At 45.3% G+C, this 18,908-nt stretch overlaps 1 long non-coding RNA gene across 2 annotated transcripts in view, besides 2 other annotated features; it reads right to left on the minus strand.

Moving 5' to 3' along the window:
• Positions 1-18,908, minus strand: part of LINC01622 (long intergenic non-protein coding RNA 1622) — a 140,330-nt gene that overhangs the window by 45,493 nt on the left and 75,929 nt on the right. The gene's annotated exons all lie outside the window — the stretch shown is intronic.
• Positions 7,418-7,477: an enhancer, noted in NCBI's record as "active region_23861". NCBI's record gives its function as "activates an Ori minimal core promoter by ATAC-STARR-seq in GM12878 lymphoblastoid cells {active_cell/tissue: GM12878}" and the evidence as "EXISTENCE:reporter gene assay evidence [ECO:0000049][PMID:35858748]".
• Positions 7,618-7,757: an enhancer, noted in NCBI's record as "active region_23862". NCBI's record gives its function as "activates an Ori minimal core promoter by ATAC-STARR-seq in GM12878 lymphoblastoid cells {active_cell/tissue: GM12878}" and the evidence as "EXISTENCE:reporter gene assay evidence [ECO:0000049][PMID:35858748]".

The raw sequence follows: 18,908 nt of genomic DNA on the forward strand, positions 1-18,908 counted from the left end.
ATATAGAGATGGAGAGAGTTGGCATGGCTAAGTATCAATGGTGGGAGAATAGAGGGGAAGAGCATATAATCATTAACTTGTAATATTCTTGCAACTTTGCTGTAGGTTCTGAATGTTTTCAAAATAAAAAGTTTAATTAAAAATCTTAAGAGAAGTTGAATGAAGAATAATTTCTTTCTGAAATTACGACTATTTCACAGTAATATGTGCTTTTGTAACAATATTTGAAAGGTGATTGAAAAAATGAAAGGTATCTGTTCTTTTGCCACACATACTTAACATTGCAAACATTTAGAATGAATTTAGAAATAAATATATTTATTTGGGATCCCTTGAGGGCAGGAGTTCAAGGCCAGCCTGGGCAACATAGTGAGACACTGTCTCTACTACAAAATAAATTTAAAAATTAGCCAGGCATGGTAGCATGCCCATAGTCCCAGCTACTCAGGAAGCTGAGGCAGGAGGATCACTTGAGCCCGGGAGTTTGAGGCTGCAGTGAGCTGTGACTGTGCCACTGCACTCCAGCCTGGGCGACAGAGCAGCACTCTCCGGAGGAGAATGGTGTGCCAGGTACGTGCCAGGTACCTGTTCGCGGGAGGGTTTCAACCCCTCGGCTCTCCTCCTGTCTGACTCTTCTGTGATCTTCCAAGCACTCTTTCTTGCACATCAGGTGCAAATACCCAGTATGCCTACTCCCAGAGCATGCTGGAGTGTCTTCTGGGAAGCGCAGAAGCAAAGTCAAGTTTGTTGTACAAGCACAGGCCCAGCGTGGCTGTGGCTGTTCATCATTCTCACAGGATAGCGGGATGTTTTAAACTCAGCTGGTGAAGTGAACTCTGAGAATGGTCCTAAGCCATTCACAGCTACCTGTTTGAAGATGGTGAATCAAGGCCAAGTCAAGTGAGATGGGGTGCAGCCTGACAGGCTCCCCCAGCTGGAGGGTGGCTCACAGCAGGGTTCAGGGTCCCCATGTGCATGGCCTGCTCCTCAAAAAGCAATGAAATGCTACGTTAGGGCCATTGTTCAGACTTGAGGCCCCAGAGTTATGCTTCCCTGACTAGAAGAGACGAAAACCTTGCCCTGACGGATGGAGGAATGAAACTGTTGATTATCGTCAGTTGTTTACTTGGTGCCAGAGGAGACATAGGTCAGTTTCATCTATGTTATCTAACAACAGATGTATATAAGAAAAAAGCAGAGAGGGAAGACAGCAATGCAGGCAGTTTGCACACTTGGGATCAGCTTATTTGCTGTCAGCTGGCAAGGAGATCCACGAGGAGCAGGTCAGCTGGGATTCCAGCAGAAGTGCCTCCAGGTGTTGATGGACTTTGCAGAAACCTTGCAATGAGCTTTGGCACACACGTGTCAAGCCATCCCTGTGTCTGCCAGTGTCTGGTCAGCAACTGCACTTCAGTGAGGCCGTCTCTGCCCATTTCCCCCATCGTGCTTTCCAACTATGAGCCTGAGGCTAATGGCAAGACTCCATCCTAGGGACAGGGAGAGTGCCATCGCTGTTCTTCCTAGGAGGGTAAGGGCCTGTGCTCAGGAGTGAGTCACACCAGGAGATGTGACTCTAATATCATCTGCCCCATCCTCAACTGTCAGTGCTAGACCAAAGCGCTCTTTGTGGATCTTAAAAGAACCATATTTGCTCTAAGACCAGGCTGTCTGAAGCCAGAGTGCTATCTGGGCTCAGGGCTGGGAAGAAGGGTTTCTTTAGTCCCAAGTGGGCAGAACACAGGCTCACACTGAAGAGCAAACACTATAGTAGAGACCAGGATGCCGACATTTGGAGCTGGGCAACACGGGGCAGTTGAAGCCTTGGCCACCAGAACAGACTGCCTGGATGCAGAACTTCCTTATGGCAACAGCACCAGGAGTTGAAGAGTTTCTCGCCCACCGAGGAAGGCTCAGGAGCTGCCAGTGTACTGAGGAGGAGAGGGAACTGGGAGACCAGACTCTGCAGCTCCCCCAGGTAGGTTAATGGAAATGCTCCTAGCATGCACACCCTTAAATAGCCTTCAGGTCCAGAAGAGCCTTCTGGAGTCAGGGTTGTTAGCTGATTTGACCTGAGATAATGGCTTATTTGACCTGAGATTATTCTAGAAGGCATTTTTCTCACTTAAGGATTGTGGACTATTAGATTACACCATATTAAGCAAATCCTGCTACTTTTGGACAAGGAAATATGCTCATACTGTAGCCACATCAGTCTGAGTTACAAATATGCTAGATTTGTCAGCCTGGCCACAAACCATCTCAGAAACACAAAACTTTAGAATTGGAAAGGATCCTAAGGATTATTTAATCCAAGTGCATGTTCTACAGATAAGGTGGCTGAGGCCAAGAGAAGCACAGGAGTGTCATTCCCAAGTGATTCTATGGATTGAAAAGCTGAAACCAAAGCTAGATTCCAGGTCTTCTGATTTGCAGGTGAATTATCTATCAGCATCATGTGGTTACCTCCCTATTTACTGCTAAATAATTGTCTCTCAATAAGTGAGTGTATGTGTGATATTCATGCATTTTAGCCTCTTTATAATTATTGTGGTATACATATACTACATATATATATGTAGTATATGTGTATATATATATACACACACACACACACACACACTATAAAATTTACCAGTTTAACAATTTTAAGTGCACAGTTCAGCGGCTTTAAGTACATTTGCATGTGGTACAGCCATCACCACCATCCAACTCCAGACTTCTCTTCATCTTTCAAAACTGAAACTCCCTCCCCATCAAACACTCACTCCCCTTTCCTCTGCCCCAGCTCCTGGCAACCCCTGTTTGACTTTCTGTCTCTATGAGTTCAATTGCTCTAGGAACCTCAGACAAGTAGAATCACACAGTATTTGTCCTTTTGTGACTGGCCTATTTCACTCAGCATAATGTCCTAAATGTTCATCCACATTGTAGCATGTGTCAGAATTTCCTTTCTTTTTAAAGCCAAATCACATTCCATTGTGGGAACACACACATTTTGTTATCTATTGATCTGTCTGTATGCATTTGGGCTGTTTCCACCTTTGGCTATTGTGAATAACGCTGCTATGAACACGGGTGTACGAACACCTGTTAAGATTCCCTGCTTTATTTTCAGCGTACACCCTGAAATGATATAGCGCGATCATATGGCAATTCTATTTTTAATTTTTTGAGGAAGAGGCACAGCACCTGCACCATTTTACATTCCTACTAACACTGTACAAGGGTTCCTATTTCTCCACATCCTCACCAGCATTTGTTACTTTCTGTTTTCTGTGTTTGTTTTGTGATAGTTGCCATCCTCATGGCTGTGTGTCTCATTGTGGTACTGATTTGCATTTCCCTAATGATTAGTGATGGGGAGCGCCTGTTCATGGGCTTCTCCCTGTTTGTAATCCATTCTTCCTGTGGCCACCTGTTCTCTGTCTGCACAGGCAGCTACGTGTTTGCAGCAGAGCTCCATGAAATCCGTGGCTTTGGGGCATCCATCTGCCTGGGAACATTCAGACAGGGAGTTTGAAGTTGAAAACCCAAAGTTGAAATCAGTCCCCTATGGAAGAGAGGCGAGAGGTGTGGTGAGGAGGTGTTTAAAGCCAGGGAGGCTGGGTTTGATGAGCATGGGTTAACTGCTGAATTATGGTTGCTCTCGCTCCCTCAGGTCTGACACCCAGCCAGGGCAGGTCCTCACGCTCACTGAGTCACTGGGAACTGATGGCTTCTCTAATAGCCAGGCTGGAGAGACCAGCGAATCCTCCCAAACACATCAAATTATGAGCTCTATGAAAGTATGGCGCAGACACAAGGAGTTTTTAAACAGAAGGCACACATTAGCCTTACGCTCCCTCCAGCACCCTTGTGTCACTCACGCATGTGTCACAGGTGACAAAATCACTCCCAAAGACAACAGGCTGAGGTTAAGCGCCTCTTCCTGGGAGTCAGGACCCACTGCTGTTTGGCTCTAATCCCTCTTCCTATTTTCACTCATGTCTGTCTCACAACCATTAACCTATGCTCCCTCCCTCCCTCCCCTCTCCCTTCTTCCCTCATTTCCCCTCTCCCTTCTTCCCTCATTTCCTCCCTCCCTTCCTTCCTGTCAGTTGCCTACTGTCCACTAAACAAGCCACTCCTTTTCCTACCTCTGGCCTCTCGAGCCCCATCACCCAGTACTGAACCTCCTTCCACCTTCTCTGGTTGCCCAGTCCTAACCATCTTACACACACTAGGGTCCTCCCTCCTCTGCTACTGCCCAGGTCATTGAAACCCTCACAGCGGCTTCCCCAGACTCCTTAGAATGATTGCTCTTGGCTCCTAGGACACGCAGAAGTAGATCTCTCTTCTACTTTTCTTGCAATTTGCTTTACACTCTTGAGGTACTGACAAGGTGTCACTCATCAAGAGACAGGGAAGCCAAAAGGGCCCTAGTGTCAGGGACACATGTGACATCTACTTGCAGCCTCGTTGTGTAGTTTAGGGTCGCTTTTCTCCTCAGTGTACAAGGACACGCTACATAGTGATCATGACTGTGCTCTGATCCTTTTACTGTACACATTGTGACATCAGCTTCATAAGCCCATATTGCCTGATGAGGTTCTGGGCTTCTGCATTCCTGGTCTGCTAGCTACAAGGCACACACACGATAATGTCAACTCTGAAAGCTGTCACTGCAAAGCTTACGTCCAACGTCCCAGTGCACATTTTATGAGTGTCTCTGCCCTGTACATAACCCCAGTTTCTGGTGCTTAGGGCAAATGAGCTACAATCGTCTTTAGTATGCAGTAAACATGCAGACCAAAAGAACATGTGCTTCCCAGGAAAAACCAAGGACATTTTATTCCATCATTAAACGTATGTGCAGGTACTGCAAAGGGCTCCCCCCGTAAATGGTTTGAATTGGGCAGCATTTTTTAAAAACCCAGGCAATCAATTTTAGTGACCTAAAAATAATACAGTTAAACCCTATTTTCCAGGTTTACTCTAGGGTAATTTCTTTTCTTGCAAATAATAAGTTTTTCTCTCAAAGTCTTTTCCCTCAGTAATTTGCTCAATTCCTGAAGAAATAATGGAGTTGCCTATTTTGGAGTTTCCTCCCTTGGGCAGCCTCCTTCAGAGGCTTATCAGGGCCACTGACTGAGCAGCTTTAAGGTTTCTGCCGGAGTCCAGGATTCTGGAGACCCGCACCCAAGTCCTCTGAAGGCACTCTGCAGAGTCCAATCCTGTGGGTCCCCTGGGTGCCTTCACTCAGGCATCTGTGGAGATTGACTGCTTGTGTGATCCACAGAAGGCAAGGAAATTTCCAGGAGTCCTGGGCTCCAAGGACCAGGCCAAACACTGACCTCAGGAGCCTGTTTCCCCAAACTCTCAATCTGGTGACGAGGATGTAGTTGGGCATTTTATTAGTTTTCTATTGCTGTGTAACAAATTTCCACCAACTTATTGGCTCAAAACAATGCACACTTATTACCCTGTGATTCTGTCGGCCAGAAGCCCAACATCGGTCTCACCAGGATAAAGCAAGGTGTCGGCAGGGCTGACCCCCCTGGAGGATCTCAGGGAGGACCTGTCTCCTTGCCTTTTCCAGCTCCTAGAGGCTGCCTGCATGCCTTGGCTCATGGTCCCTTCCTTCAAAGTCGGCAATATGGCATTTTTCTGAGCCTTCTTTTGTGGTCACATGCTTCTCCCTTTGACTACAGCAAAGATGAGATCTCTGCTTGTGAGGATCCCTGGGATCACATTAGGTCACCCGGATAATCCAGAATAACTTCCCCATCTCAAGATCTTTCATTGCATCAGCGAAGCGACTCCAGCCTTCTAAGGCGACAGTCACAGGTTCCTACACACAGGTAGGATGTGTGTGTGTGTGTGTGTGTGTGTGTGTGCGCGCGCGTAGGTGTTATTCTGCCTGGCACAGTGCTGGAGGGCAAGGGGCTTCCTTTACTACCACAGTGCCCATATGCTCTGCTGTTCCTCAGAGCTGGTCCCTGCTTGTCTTCCATCCCAAAGCTTCCTATTGCTGTCTATACTTTTCATCTAAATTGTCCTCCTGACTTCTGGGTGTGACTTTTCTCTCCACTAGATGCCGCAGAACCAATCTGACCAAATCTGCAGTCCCCAAAGAAGAAACCTTAGCCATCCTGGGGTAGGTTAGCTGTGAGTTGTTGTCCCCAGCCCCCCAACAAGACAGAGCTCAACCAGGGTTCTCCAAGCCCTTGGTCTGGTTACAGAGAGAGGAGAGAATTCACCTCTGTAGTTTTAAGCTTGGGAGCACTTATTTCTAACTGTTATGAGTTTAATAGATTTGCTTTGAAATCAAAAATTTGCAAGGCCATCTCCCTATATGATTATCCGTAACGTTCAAAGTGTGTTGACTGCAAGCTACTGTGATTTCAGTAACAAATATTTAAAAATTTGTATTTCATTAATAACAATGGTATCCACATAATTCAAAAGACAATACAGGTATGGGTAAATGACGTTATTTGGGGGATTTATAGACCATGCATGCTGTGCGTATGGATTTTCAGACACCAAATATGACTCCATGGCCTTATGGGCAAGATTTCATCTGATGGTGGCCGACAAGTCTTGGTCTTATTTATTCTCCTGGGCTCCTCATGAAGTGACTCTGATATTGCAGGCTTTCCCAGACCCTCTCCAAGGAAAAGCCAGCGAGTGGTCTCTGTAGGAACAATTTGAGACAGAGTGGCTGCATATTAGTGGCTGTACATGTGGCCTCTCCCTTAGTGCTTCTCCTGGAGGAAAGGAATCCATGTACATCCCCAGAATATTGAGCATCCCCCACGAGGAGGCCATGTCTTCTGGCCTTTCATGAAGAGCCCACACCCCCTCAGACAGTTGACACCCACATCCAAATGGCTTTTTGTGGTGGTGAACCCCACCCAACCCCACAGTGACCTCTGCTCTCACTTTCTAAGCCCCACTCATCTTATCTATCCCCGAATTTCTCCTCCTTATTTGTAGACTTGTCAGCTCAAGTCACTTTCTGTTAACTGATATTTTCAAAAAACCTGCAAGAATTGTAACTTTCCTCCACTCTTCTGTCTTGGTCAATTTTGCCTTTTTGTTGTTGTGTTTCTCTTGAAACTTCAGCTCTACTCATTCTCTTCTGAGAACCCACTGTGGGCTTACATGAGAAGTGTACTTTAGTTAAAGCTTAATAAATCATGTTATATTTATGATTTTTTTTTCTTTTGATGTAGTTAACCATTAGGCCAAGTAAAGCTATGACAAACTTACAACTCATCTTATAAACATATTTCACTTGAAAGCTTATGTTTGCTTGGGATTATTGTCCTGCCTCTACAGGACAGATTTTTCATGAGTCTCAGCATTTTGTAACAAATATTCTCCACTCAGTGCTTTCGCTTTCCACTTTTAGGACTGACTCAAGGGATGGGGCTTTCCAATTGAAATGCTTTTCTAAGACTTTATTCTTAACGATGTTTCTCCTTAGACTTGGGGTGTTTCCTCTTAGCGTTCCAACTTGCATATTTTTTTTAACAAATGTAGTACTGGTAGAAGCCTATCAGTGAAGTAAAATCTCCCCAGGGATCTATTCATCTTCCTGCTTGTACTTTATACTCATTTCAGATGTTTTTGCACATGCTTGCAGGGGATGATGGTACTTTTCACTCAGGTGTAAATCCTCAGCAGAGGCACGGCAATGAAATGTCACCTGAAGGCCATTCGGGAGGTTTGCACTCATAGAAACATTTCACAAGAAGCCAGGCCCAGTTTTGGGGGTCTGCCCGAAACTTTCAGTTCCTAAAACAATTGTGAGAGGTAAGTAAGTATAAAACTAAGATCCAACAAGGCTAAATGAGTTGCCTGGGAACACAGCAAATCAACCCAAGTCGGGGCAAGATATGTCTTCAGAAATGAGTTCATTTCTGAACTCACTGGGAGTTCAGTGGGCCTTTTGGGACAAGGGTCCTTTGGGAGGAGATTGGGTCATGAATGGGATTTGTGCCTTCATAAAGGAGATCCTGGGTTGCTGGCTAGCCTCTTCGAACATGTGAGGACACAGAGAGAAGGTGCTGCCCATGAGGCAGAGAACACACCCTCCCTAGATGCCAAATCAGCCAGCGCCTTGCTCTTGGACTTCCCAGCCTCCAGAACTGTGAGACATAAATGTCTGCTGCTTATAAATTACTGAGTATCTTGTAAATTTTTTTAAGTTCCTTGTAGATTCTGGATATTAGACCTTTGTTGGATGGGTAGATTGCAAAAATTTTCTCCCATTCTGTAGGCTGCCCATTCATTCTGATGATAGTTTCTTTTGATGTGCAGAAGTTCTTTAGTTTAACTAGATCCCATTTGTCAATTTTAGCTTTTGTTGCAATTGCTTTTGATGTTTTAGTCATGAAGTCTTAACTCAAACAAATTTATAAGAAAAAAACAACCTCATCAAAAAGTAGGTGAAGGATATGAACAGACACTTCTCAAATGAAAATATTTATGCAGCCAACAAACATATGAAAAAAAAGCTCATCATCACTGGTCATTAGAGAAATGCAAATCAAAACCACAATGACATACCATCTCATGCCAGTCAAAATGGCAATTATTAAAAACTCAGGAAAGAATAGATGCTGGCGAAGCTGTGGAGAAATACAAATGCTTTTACACTGCTGGTGGGAGTGTAAATTAGTTCAACCATTGGTGAAGACAGTGTGGCAACTCCTCAAGGATCTAGAACCAGAAATACAATTTGACCCAGCAATCTCATTACTGGGTATACACCCAAAGGAATATAAATCATTCTACTATAAAGACACATGCACATGTATGTTTATTACAGCACTATTTACAGTCGCAAAGACTTGGAACCAACCCAAATGCCCATCAATGATAGACTGGATAATGAAAATGTGTCACATATACACCATGGAATACTATGCAGCCATAAAAGGAAGAGTTCATGTCCTTTGCAGGGACATGGATGAAGCTGGAAACCATCATTCTCAGCAAACTAACACAGGAACAGAAAACCAAATACTGCGTGTTCACACTCATAAGTGGGAGTTGAACAATGAGAACACATGGACACAGGGAGGGGACCATCACACACCTGGGCCTATTTGGGAGTGGGGGGTGAGGGGTGAGGGGAGGGAGAGCATTAGGACAAAGGTCTAATGCATGTGGGGCTTAAAACCTAGACGACGGGTTGATAGGTGCAGCAAGCCACCATGGCACATGTATATCTATGGAACGAACCTGCATGTTCTGCATACGTATCCCAGAACTGAAAGTAAAATTAAAAAAAGAAAAAGAAGATAATTTTTATGCCAAAGTAACATAAAAACAACTACCCAGTGTCAGGTGTTTTGTTACAGCAGCCTGAGTGAACTAAGAGAGTGCCCTTTCCTGTATAAGGGGTGGCTGCAGGGCCCTCCAGGTCATGGGATTTGCTGCTCTGAAGACACAGAAAAACTAAGCCCAGTCAGCCTTCCTCAAACCCCACCACACAGCACCTCCAGTGGAAACATGACTTCACAGCATGAGAGGCCTGACTGCACAGCACTAGCTTTATGCATTTGGAATAGATCCTGGTACTGCTGCCCTCAGTGAGGAATGTGGCACTGCTGTGGCCATGTTCATCTGAGCTCCTTCATGAACACCCAAGGGAGCACTGAGGGTGAATAAATCAGTCCAGTCTCAGCAAGCTGGGCCCTCCCACCTGAAGATCTATAACTGTGACATCCCAAGTCCAGGGGACACATTGAAATATGGGATGTCAGCAACTATTAGTGCATTTGGAGCCATAGGGAAACTTGTTAATTGTTTATTTAATTAAATTTTTTAGTCTTCATTTAAACATCATGTAGTGCGGATGCACAGACACACACTCACACACTTAATTACAGCCCGGCACACCAACTGCCTCTAACGCTTTGACATAGAAATTAATCTAGAGACGGAAGACAGAGCATAAATAAGGAAAATAAACAAACCCCTGGTTGTCACATTTGTTTTCCTCGTTCCTGTTTACTCACTATTTATGGCAGCCCCATAAAATCCTGTCATAATAACTCCTCCTATCAAAGGGCTATCATGACAAACCAGCATTACAGCAACCAAGTTTTCAAGTTTCCTTTGAATAAAGGTCCTAGATGAACCCCATGTTTAGTATAAACCTTCCGTTTCCTCCTGTACAAAATTATTTACGGAAAAAAGTGATTATTTGGGGATTTATGACATCATCAAGCATTGTATGTTTATTCAACCTTGCATTCGTTCACTCATTGATTTATTCAATAAAAATGTACCTGTGCCAGGCCCAGGGCTCGTGCTGCAGGGAACACAGATGTCAGGTCTGTCTGCGCATGTTATGGGCACTCAGTAAACACCGGCAAGGCAGCAGTGAAAATGTTGGTTTAGATTTGGAAAAGGGGAACTGATTTGGGTTTGAGATACCTGAGAAACAGATTAACTTGGTAGTTAGCCTTTGAGTATTGTTCCTCGCAACAGATTTCAGGGGATGGCTGTGCCAGTTATGAGTGAATGCCCACAGTTCACTGGGGACTGGCTTGATTGGGGGTGGATTGCAGCAGTGGCTGCACGTTAGGGTCACCTGGAGAGTTAAATGAACGAGCAGGATGCTTCCCACGTCACCCGGAGATATGATTCAGCCGATGTGAGGTGGCCCAGGGCTGGGTGATCAGCTCTAAGGTTCCCAGAGTGATTCTGCACATCCAGGGATGAACATCAGAGGTGCCGGAGAAAGAACATGGACTTTTGTGATCCTGAATCCCAGGAGTACTAATCACTAACTGTGTAACCTAGGGCAGTCCACTTAGCCTCTTTGAGACTTAATTTCTCATTTGAAAAAGAGAGAAATACAGGATATATAAGATATATTTACCTACAGGTAATTGTGAGACAAATGAAATAATAAAGGAAAGTTCTTAGCAAACTCTTCGTGCATTATTAGTGCTCAATAAATGCTAAATACTATGATTAATAATACATTTTTGTTATTAACTTGAAAGTCATTGTGTTGTGGGAAGAATGGAGTCCTAATTTATAATTTTTTCCCTCCACTTAAAAAAAATAATTTATTGAGCAGACAAGAATAAGTAAAGACATCTCAGAATCAAGCAAATATCCCAGCATGTTCTCGGAAAAATTAAAACTGCAGTTAAGGGTGCACTTCTATTTGATTTAAAAGAAAATATATGTTAATTTAATACTTGGTAACTTTGCAAGGTTTAGACTAAACATTGAACACAAAAATAGCTTCTGAGATTCTTAGTCAAAGACAGCTTTGTTGTAATAGCCTTGTTGAAATCGGAGTTTAAAACCCACTGCTTTTAGGTCCAGTGGGCAAAACAGCCACATGTGGATGTGCAGTCCTTACTGGCAGACACAGGGGAGCTGCTGGGCTGGAAGGTCATGAAACTGCTTTTAGGTGGACCTGGGATGCTACTCACCACAATTCCGGTGGGGTCACTCCTTAATAACAAGCGGGACCCAAGGAAATAACCCTGCCAGGTAAAAGATTGTCTGCCTTTACTTTGTAGGTAAAAATCCAGAGAGCTCTTTATCCTCTGGGGAATGTTCTAGTCTTTCTCCCTCAGGATACTTGTGTGTGGCAGAGGATACTGTTCCCACTAAGTGTTTCCACCTGTACATCCCAGAGCTAAACCCCATCCTGTTTCAGTTACAGGCTCAAACAATAAACATAAACACTTTCTACATCAGGCTAATTTATGGGGTCTGTTTTCCTGGCTTTCCCCAAGAAATTCCACTCCAAACACATTGAGAATGGGAAGAAAAAAAATCTGTTCTTACAGTCACCATAAAAAGTATGCTATTGATTTAAGAAATTTGTGTTTTCTAAAACTAGTGATTCACGTTTGTGTGTATATCACTCTGCCATCCACATTTACAAGAACAGTCGGAATGTTCGTTAGGAAGGACTACACTGGCTTCTTACAGCCAACTGCAGCTTCTTTGTGTGAGTGTTGCTTCTTGAGCTTTATTAAGTTTTTGTGCCAGTGTACAAATGGCACATGTGAGTCTCCACGAAACTAGTTCATTTTCCAATTCATAGCTAGTGTTGTTCCAATACTGACGCTTATAATAAAAGTGTTAAGTAAATCACCATTAACCATTGCCTTAAACAACTGAATTGAGAAAAGTTTCATTAATTTCTCATTATTCTTCTTTTACTGTGCACATGAGCATGTGATTTTAAGCTTTCATAATATGCGTGTATTGTTTAGTATTACAGACATTCACAGCTGAAAAGCAACTCAGAGGTTACTTAGTGAGACCTAATTGTATTAACTTTACATATGAAGAAATGGAATCAAGATGAAAACATCTTCAATGGTTTACCCAAGATTGCATTGTATCTCATGTCATAAATTAATCCAATCTTTAAAACCCATCATTTCTTTTACCCATCCATTCATTTACTAGGTAAGTATTTGTTGTGCATCTCCTGTGTGCTAAGCATCACGCTCTACCGTGGGAATACAACGATTAAGACCCAGTCCCCTGCCCACGGAGAGCCCTGTGCGTTTATGGATAAGACAGGCAAGATGGCAGGCAATGACAGAGTCTTGAGATAAAGTCACATGGCTACACCTGGCTGTTCTCTAGACGCCTCAGAAAGAGGAAATGATTCAGGCATTGAGCGTTCTGGGAAGGACTCATCTGATTTTTAATACTTCATTATTAAAATGTTAAGCAACAGAAACATGCTTTGACTTAGGGAGATCCAAAAAACCTACATTTGATTTCAAATTCTGCTACATGCTTGCTCTATGACCTTAAACAAATGACTTAGCCTTTCGGAGTTTCCTTATCTTTAAATGGGGATAATAATATGAACCCCAGGATATTTGACAAAATTATATAGTAAATACAGAATTCTAAGTACTGAATAAGTAATTGTTGCTATTCCATACACTTATTTAAAACTTAGCCTCTTGGGAAAAGCATATGGTAAAACTCAGGCTTCTTCTACACCCGTGTCTTTCAGGATGGGGGAGAAAATGGCAGAGGGGCTCAAACACAAGGCTTAGCCCCCACCTATTCTGTGCTCTTTCCACCCAAACACATGGAATCAAGCTGCCACGGAAGCAGAAGCCTGGGGAGAACAGGAAACAAAAACGCAGAGATACTGAGTTCACGAGTGACTGCAGTGTTAGAAGAGGTGTGGGGCTGAATGGGAGTGTGGGGACATGTTAGAAAATCGCTCTCAGAGGAGTTACCACAAAGAAAAGCTTTCTTTCTGATTTTTACATCCCATCACTCAAATTACTGTAACCTACAAAATTCATGAATATGCACTAGTTCCCCATTGCACTAGGTATTTGGTGGGGCATGAATTCAGATTCTGAGAGGTGAATAAGTCCAACAACACCTTGACTTCTTAAATTCTAACTCTGTAAATTTGCAGATGAGAAACCAAAGTCCATAGAGGTGAAGTGACATGATTATAGTCATTTAGAAGACAATGAGATGGGCTTAGATGTGTGAGGACTTCATAAATCCATGTGTGAAAGAGAATGGGTGAGGGGCCAGGGTAAGACCTTGCAGCAAGTCTGACCAGTGAAAGAGGGAGGGAGGTAAGGTTGGATGGCGGCGTCCCAGAGGGCCATGCACCCAGAGGAAGGTTTAGGAGAGCTGTGAAGCAAACGTCAGAGAAGCCCTGGTCTTCCAGCACCGGGCTGGCCTTAGGGCCCCTGCTGTCCTCAGTCATTGGCTGGGAGAACCAGGGAAAAGCAAATGTCGAGAAAGATTTCAGAGGCAGACGCCGGGGTTTTTGTTCACGTGTGCTTCCATAATTGGGGGTCTGTGCTACTCATGGCTACCAGGGTCCACCATGGGTAGGGGTTCTCACTGACCACACACTGCAGGAGCAGCTCCTCCAGGGCCCCTATGGGGCTTTCTGCAGAGGGAGACACAGCTGAGGGAGGCAGGTGGGATGGGCTGTAGGCCACATTGCTGTCATTCACTTGGGGCCCCAGCTGGTACTAATCATCCCCTAACCCTGCTACTCATTCTAAATGTCCCTCACCCTCAGCACTTTGGCAGGGCTCAGTGGCTTGTCTGATGGCATGACCCGAAGGATCACACCCTTGGTCATCGTGTTCTTCTCATCCAAGCTTGCTGAGAGCACCCATTTACCTCTACGGTGGAACCCGGGTATACCAGGAGGCACCCGAGTGGAGCCCTAGGCATGTTCCTCCCTGCCCCACTGTGTACAAGCAGCCACAGCTCCTCTCAATGACCAGGGTCCATTTCCTCAGCCACCTCCTGAGGACAGCTCCGGAAGCAGGGTTACTTGGTGTCTCACAGTCAAGTAGCCTGCCTTCACCAAGGCCAGCAGCACCCAAGAAACATTTCTCAAGGCTGCCTAATCCTCTGTTGCAGATGGCAAGGCCTTGCTCCCGCATCCCAGGAGCCTGTGTTGTGGCTCTTCTGTGGAACTACTGGAAGCTCCAAGCTGCCTCTGATCCCTACTGATGCCTCCAGCACCATAGGGTCTGCAAGATTGTGTGGCCCCAGCAGTAGGGATGAATGCACCACAGCTTGGACCCACAGCACAGCCCTTTCCTGCCCACCACGGTATACCTGGAAGCCTTCTGTGTCACACACAATCTAGGAATGGGATGAGTTGCCACCAGAACCCAGGCACCATGCTTACTTCTTTGTAGTAGTTAATGCAAAATGCAGTGACTTATCTTTCACTGTGGAGCAAAATCCTCGCACTCCTTAATTTCTGGCCCCTAAAATCTTCACTGGAGTGGTCAACTCCCGAGTCTTTGCAGGGTTTACCCCCTACCTGCAGCATCACATGTGTCTTCCTTACTCTCTCAGTGCATGAGCCCCCTCTTGTTTCTTTCGTTCAGTCTGCATGAAGTCATTGATCATTACAGTATTCTACAGTTAGGCCAAGCAGTCCAGGACTGCTCATGCTGTGCCTAGTGTTGGTTCGTGGGTTCGTGGTCTCATCTTGCTGACTTCAAGAATGAAGCAGCAGACCTTCACGGTGAGTGTTACAGCTCTTAAAGAAGGCATGGACCCAAAGAGAGAGCAGTAGCAAGATTTATTGTGAAGAGTGAAAAAACAAAGCTTCCACAGGTGGAAAGGAACCTGAGTGTTGCCACTGCGGCTGGGGTGGCCAGCTTTTATTCCCTTATTTGTCTCTGCCCATCTTCTGTTTTTGTCCTATCAGAGTGCCCTTTTTTCAATCTTCCCTGTGATTGGCTACTTTTAGACTCCTGCTGATTGGTCCATTTTACAGAGCACTGATTGGTGCATTTTACAAACCTCTTGCTAGCTACAGAGCACTGATTGGTGCGTTTTTACAGAGTGCTGATTGGTGCATTTTACAATCCCTTTGTAAGACAGAAAAGTTCTCCAAGTCCCCACTGGACCCAGGAAGTCCAGCTGGCTTCACGTCTCAATGCCAAGAGGCACAGAGTTCATACAGCACTGTGGTTAAATTAGCAGTGCATATCATCAGTCCTATGTGAGCTGTTTCTGGTCCTCTTTTCCAAATGGAATGGTCGAGCATGCACTGGCAAACTAAGAGGCACATGCCCCGTTCTTGGTGCTTTGCTAATCTGCTCTAATGGTGTGATCTGGGCTACTGCTAGGTTAAGTCTGGTAGTAGTGGTAGTCGACATTCGTTCTCTGGGATCCATAGAGTTTCTGCAGGGGCCAGCCTGACAATTCGATGGAGCAGTGATCGGTACCAACACTGTGCACCCTTTAGGTCCTTAATGGTGGACTTCAGTCTGCCTTTCTTTCCCATCTCCTGCCAAGATTCAGCGAGGTTGAGGGGGCAGCTTCGGGGGTTTTCACCTTTTCCAATTGGCCTTTCCCACTATGATAGCTCTTATCCCACAAACCAAGAACCCTAATGTGGGCGTAGTTCCACCTGCTCTGTAGCTCTTGTCTAACAGTCCACTGAAGAACTGGGAAAGACCACTGCTGAAGCCACAGACCCAGCAGGCCCACTGCGAGCTGGACAACAGCCAGATCCAGTAATGACTTGGCCCCCAGGTCCCCTACTCTACCGGGAAAGCCAAGATGACTCTGTGGAATCTCTAGGTATCCCTGGAAATTCAGACCTTGTGTCCAATAGTCTTTGAAATGTCAGGTAATTCCCCCTACCCAGATTAAAGTCACATGAGTAAATGGCCTTAGGTGCCCTTGAGGAAGGACTGGGGGAATGCTCATATGCTGGCCACCATGCTGCAGGAATCTGTATTTGCAGGACAAGCCAGCTCTTCAGTCAATGGGTTTCAAGTCTGAAATTGGGTATGCCTGGGGACTGAGCAGGAGGCTTTGTCTTGGTTGCGGAGAGGCAGTCCTCAGCCTGCCGCTTCTTCCTTCTTTACCATTACTATTACAGGCATGGGGTGGCACCCTTGTGGGCCTATCTGAGGCTAAGAACAATCTGCTGTATCAGCCATCCCCAAACTCCCTGCAGCTCAGGCCCCCTTGGCCACCCCTCCAACCTTCCTATTCATCATTGTTGTGGCCTCTGGTTTCTAGCCCCCATTACTTTGGGGCCCCATCATCCCCAAAAAGACCCAGTCTTCCAAGAGCCACCCCAGGAGCTTTGCTTCATTTCTTGACATCCTGTCTACAATGTTAAATCTTATATTCTGAAAAAAATTACTTCTAACTATTGCTTATCTGATTTACAGTCTGATCAAACACCCTCAAAATCCAATCCCAGGCATACTCCCTTAGCTCCCATGTGGACACATGCCAGCTGGCCTTTCCATTATTGGGATGAAAAGTCTTTTCCTCCCCTCTCAAGCCCAGCATATTCTCAGCTGGGTTCTGTTGGGATTGAAGCCTAGCTGTGCCCTGGCCTCCTAGAGGGGAGGATGCCTGTTGCTTGTTGGGGAAGCTTCTGCGCTTGTACTAGGATATGGCGGGGCCACCTCTGCAATTTCAGAGGACTCACAGGGACTGTAGAGTCAGCGTCCACAGGGAACGCCATGCAGAGGTTTCCCCACCAAGGTTCTGCCTCACAGATCACAGAAATGCCTGGACTGAGCACCCACACATCTCCAGAGCTCTGACACTTTCACAAGTACCTGCTGCTCAACTGCATCTGCCCACCCATGCCAGGTGATGAGGGTCCCTTCAGAAGCTATCCTTGAAGCTCTCTGGCTCTCACACTTGACCATTAACTGCTAGTTAATACATCCCAGACTCCTTTTCCTTCTGCAGTACATGAATTCAGCTTTGCAATAACCAGTCAACTGTGCTGTCTTGTAGACATTGTTCCCCCAATATTTTCCAAATGCTTCCATCATTGCACCTGTCTCTGCATTATCCTCCACTGAGCGGTGTTTCAAGGCCCACCTCAGTGAAATCTTTAGCAATCGAGCTGCCATCCCTTATCAAGGAGGACATGAGTCTCTGCCCTTCCACCAGTCATCATGGAGACCTTTCTACCTGCTAGCTAATTCACGATCTAGACCGAAACCCATATTTTGTCACCTTTTTTCTCTGACCACTCTTGGTACCACTCCTGTGAGTCTGGGTCTTCTGAGAAGCAGAAGTCTGCAAAGATTCTAGTGGGAGAAAGGCCTGCATGAGAGAAAGTGGAGAGGGCTAAGAGGCAGGCCTCCCCACCATGCAGGTATGAGCCCCAAGATAAGGTCAGCGAGACTGAAGGTTGGGTGGAAAGTCCCAGATCTGTACCCTCTAAGGAGGGCCCTATAGGCTGCTGTGGGTCCTCACCAAAGCCAGCACTCACAGCAGCCCGTCTCTCCTTGTTGGCTGGCTGCTGTGGGGAGCATGGTTTTGACCCAGGTGAAGGGCAGGTGTGCAGGCCTGGCAGGAGGCCGCTGGCCAATTGCACTCCTTGGCTGGAGCTGGGTGGGTGTAGCTTCAGGACCACAGTGGAGTTGGGAGCACAAGCCACCCTTCTTCCTTCCCGAGGTCTTTCCATGGCTCCTGGAGCCCACTGCACGTGACAACTTCATTATTGTAACTGTAATGAGAAAATCGCTAGGAGAACAAGGACATGAGGAATTAATTTCTGCTCTGTTTAGAGAAGATGTTGAACTTTCTTTCAGTGGCCAAAAGGCAAAGCCCGATGTCATGGCCGAAGAGGTCTGGAGAAACTAGGACGCGGCAGTCACATCCCTCCCCACGGGGTCACCGCACTGCCTGCAAGGAACTTCCTGAATGCTGCCTCTGCACAGCTGGCAACCAGGGGTTCTTAGAGCTTGAAGGAGCATGCATTCTTTATTATGACACAACTAGGAAAAAATCACAGTGCCAAGTTAGCAAAGTTAAACTCAGGGGCGGTGCTCTGCCAGGAACCCCGCTGTGGAGAGATGTTTATTCAATGTGCTTTCTGCAAGGACCAAAGACAGGCTGATGCTTTTATGAGACACTGCGGTTTGCTCTTGGGTAACAAACAGCAATGAAAAAAAAACAGGAAATTTCCACTGTAAGATGTTCTAAATGAAGTATTTAATATACTAAATGTAATGAGTGGGTCCCCTGCTGACTTGCATTGAAGAACATAAATATGTAATAAACTAAGCTACTTGGGACTATCTGAAAATGCATTCTCCCAAGAACAACCTCGGGTTTACTGTCCTTTTAATAAAACTTCCTCCAAGTGACAGTCATTGTCTTTAACACAAATGCACATTGTAGATCTTTCTTGACAAATAATAATTGTGAGGATGCTTTGGAACTCAATTGTGAAATTAATCCCATTATCCTTTAAGACATTACAGTTGTGTTTTACTGACGTTGATTTCGCCTGTCCCATTTTTAGATATTTTTAAAAATCTGATTTCATTTCTCCCTGGATTTTATTTTTTGTAGTCAGTTTATAGCATCTTTCCAAAACCAACCATGCTAAATGGAAAACATACCTTAGATTA

This window comes from Homo sapiens, chromosome 6, assembly GCF_000001405.40.
Source record: "Homo sapiens chromosome 6, GRCh38.p14 Primary Assembly".
NCBI classification, from domain to species: Eukaryota; Metazoa; Chordata; class Mammalia; order Primates; family Hominidae; genus Homo; species Homo sapiens.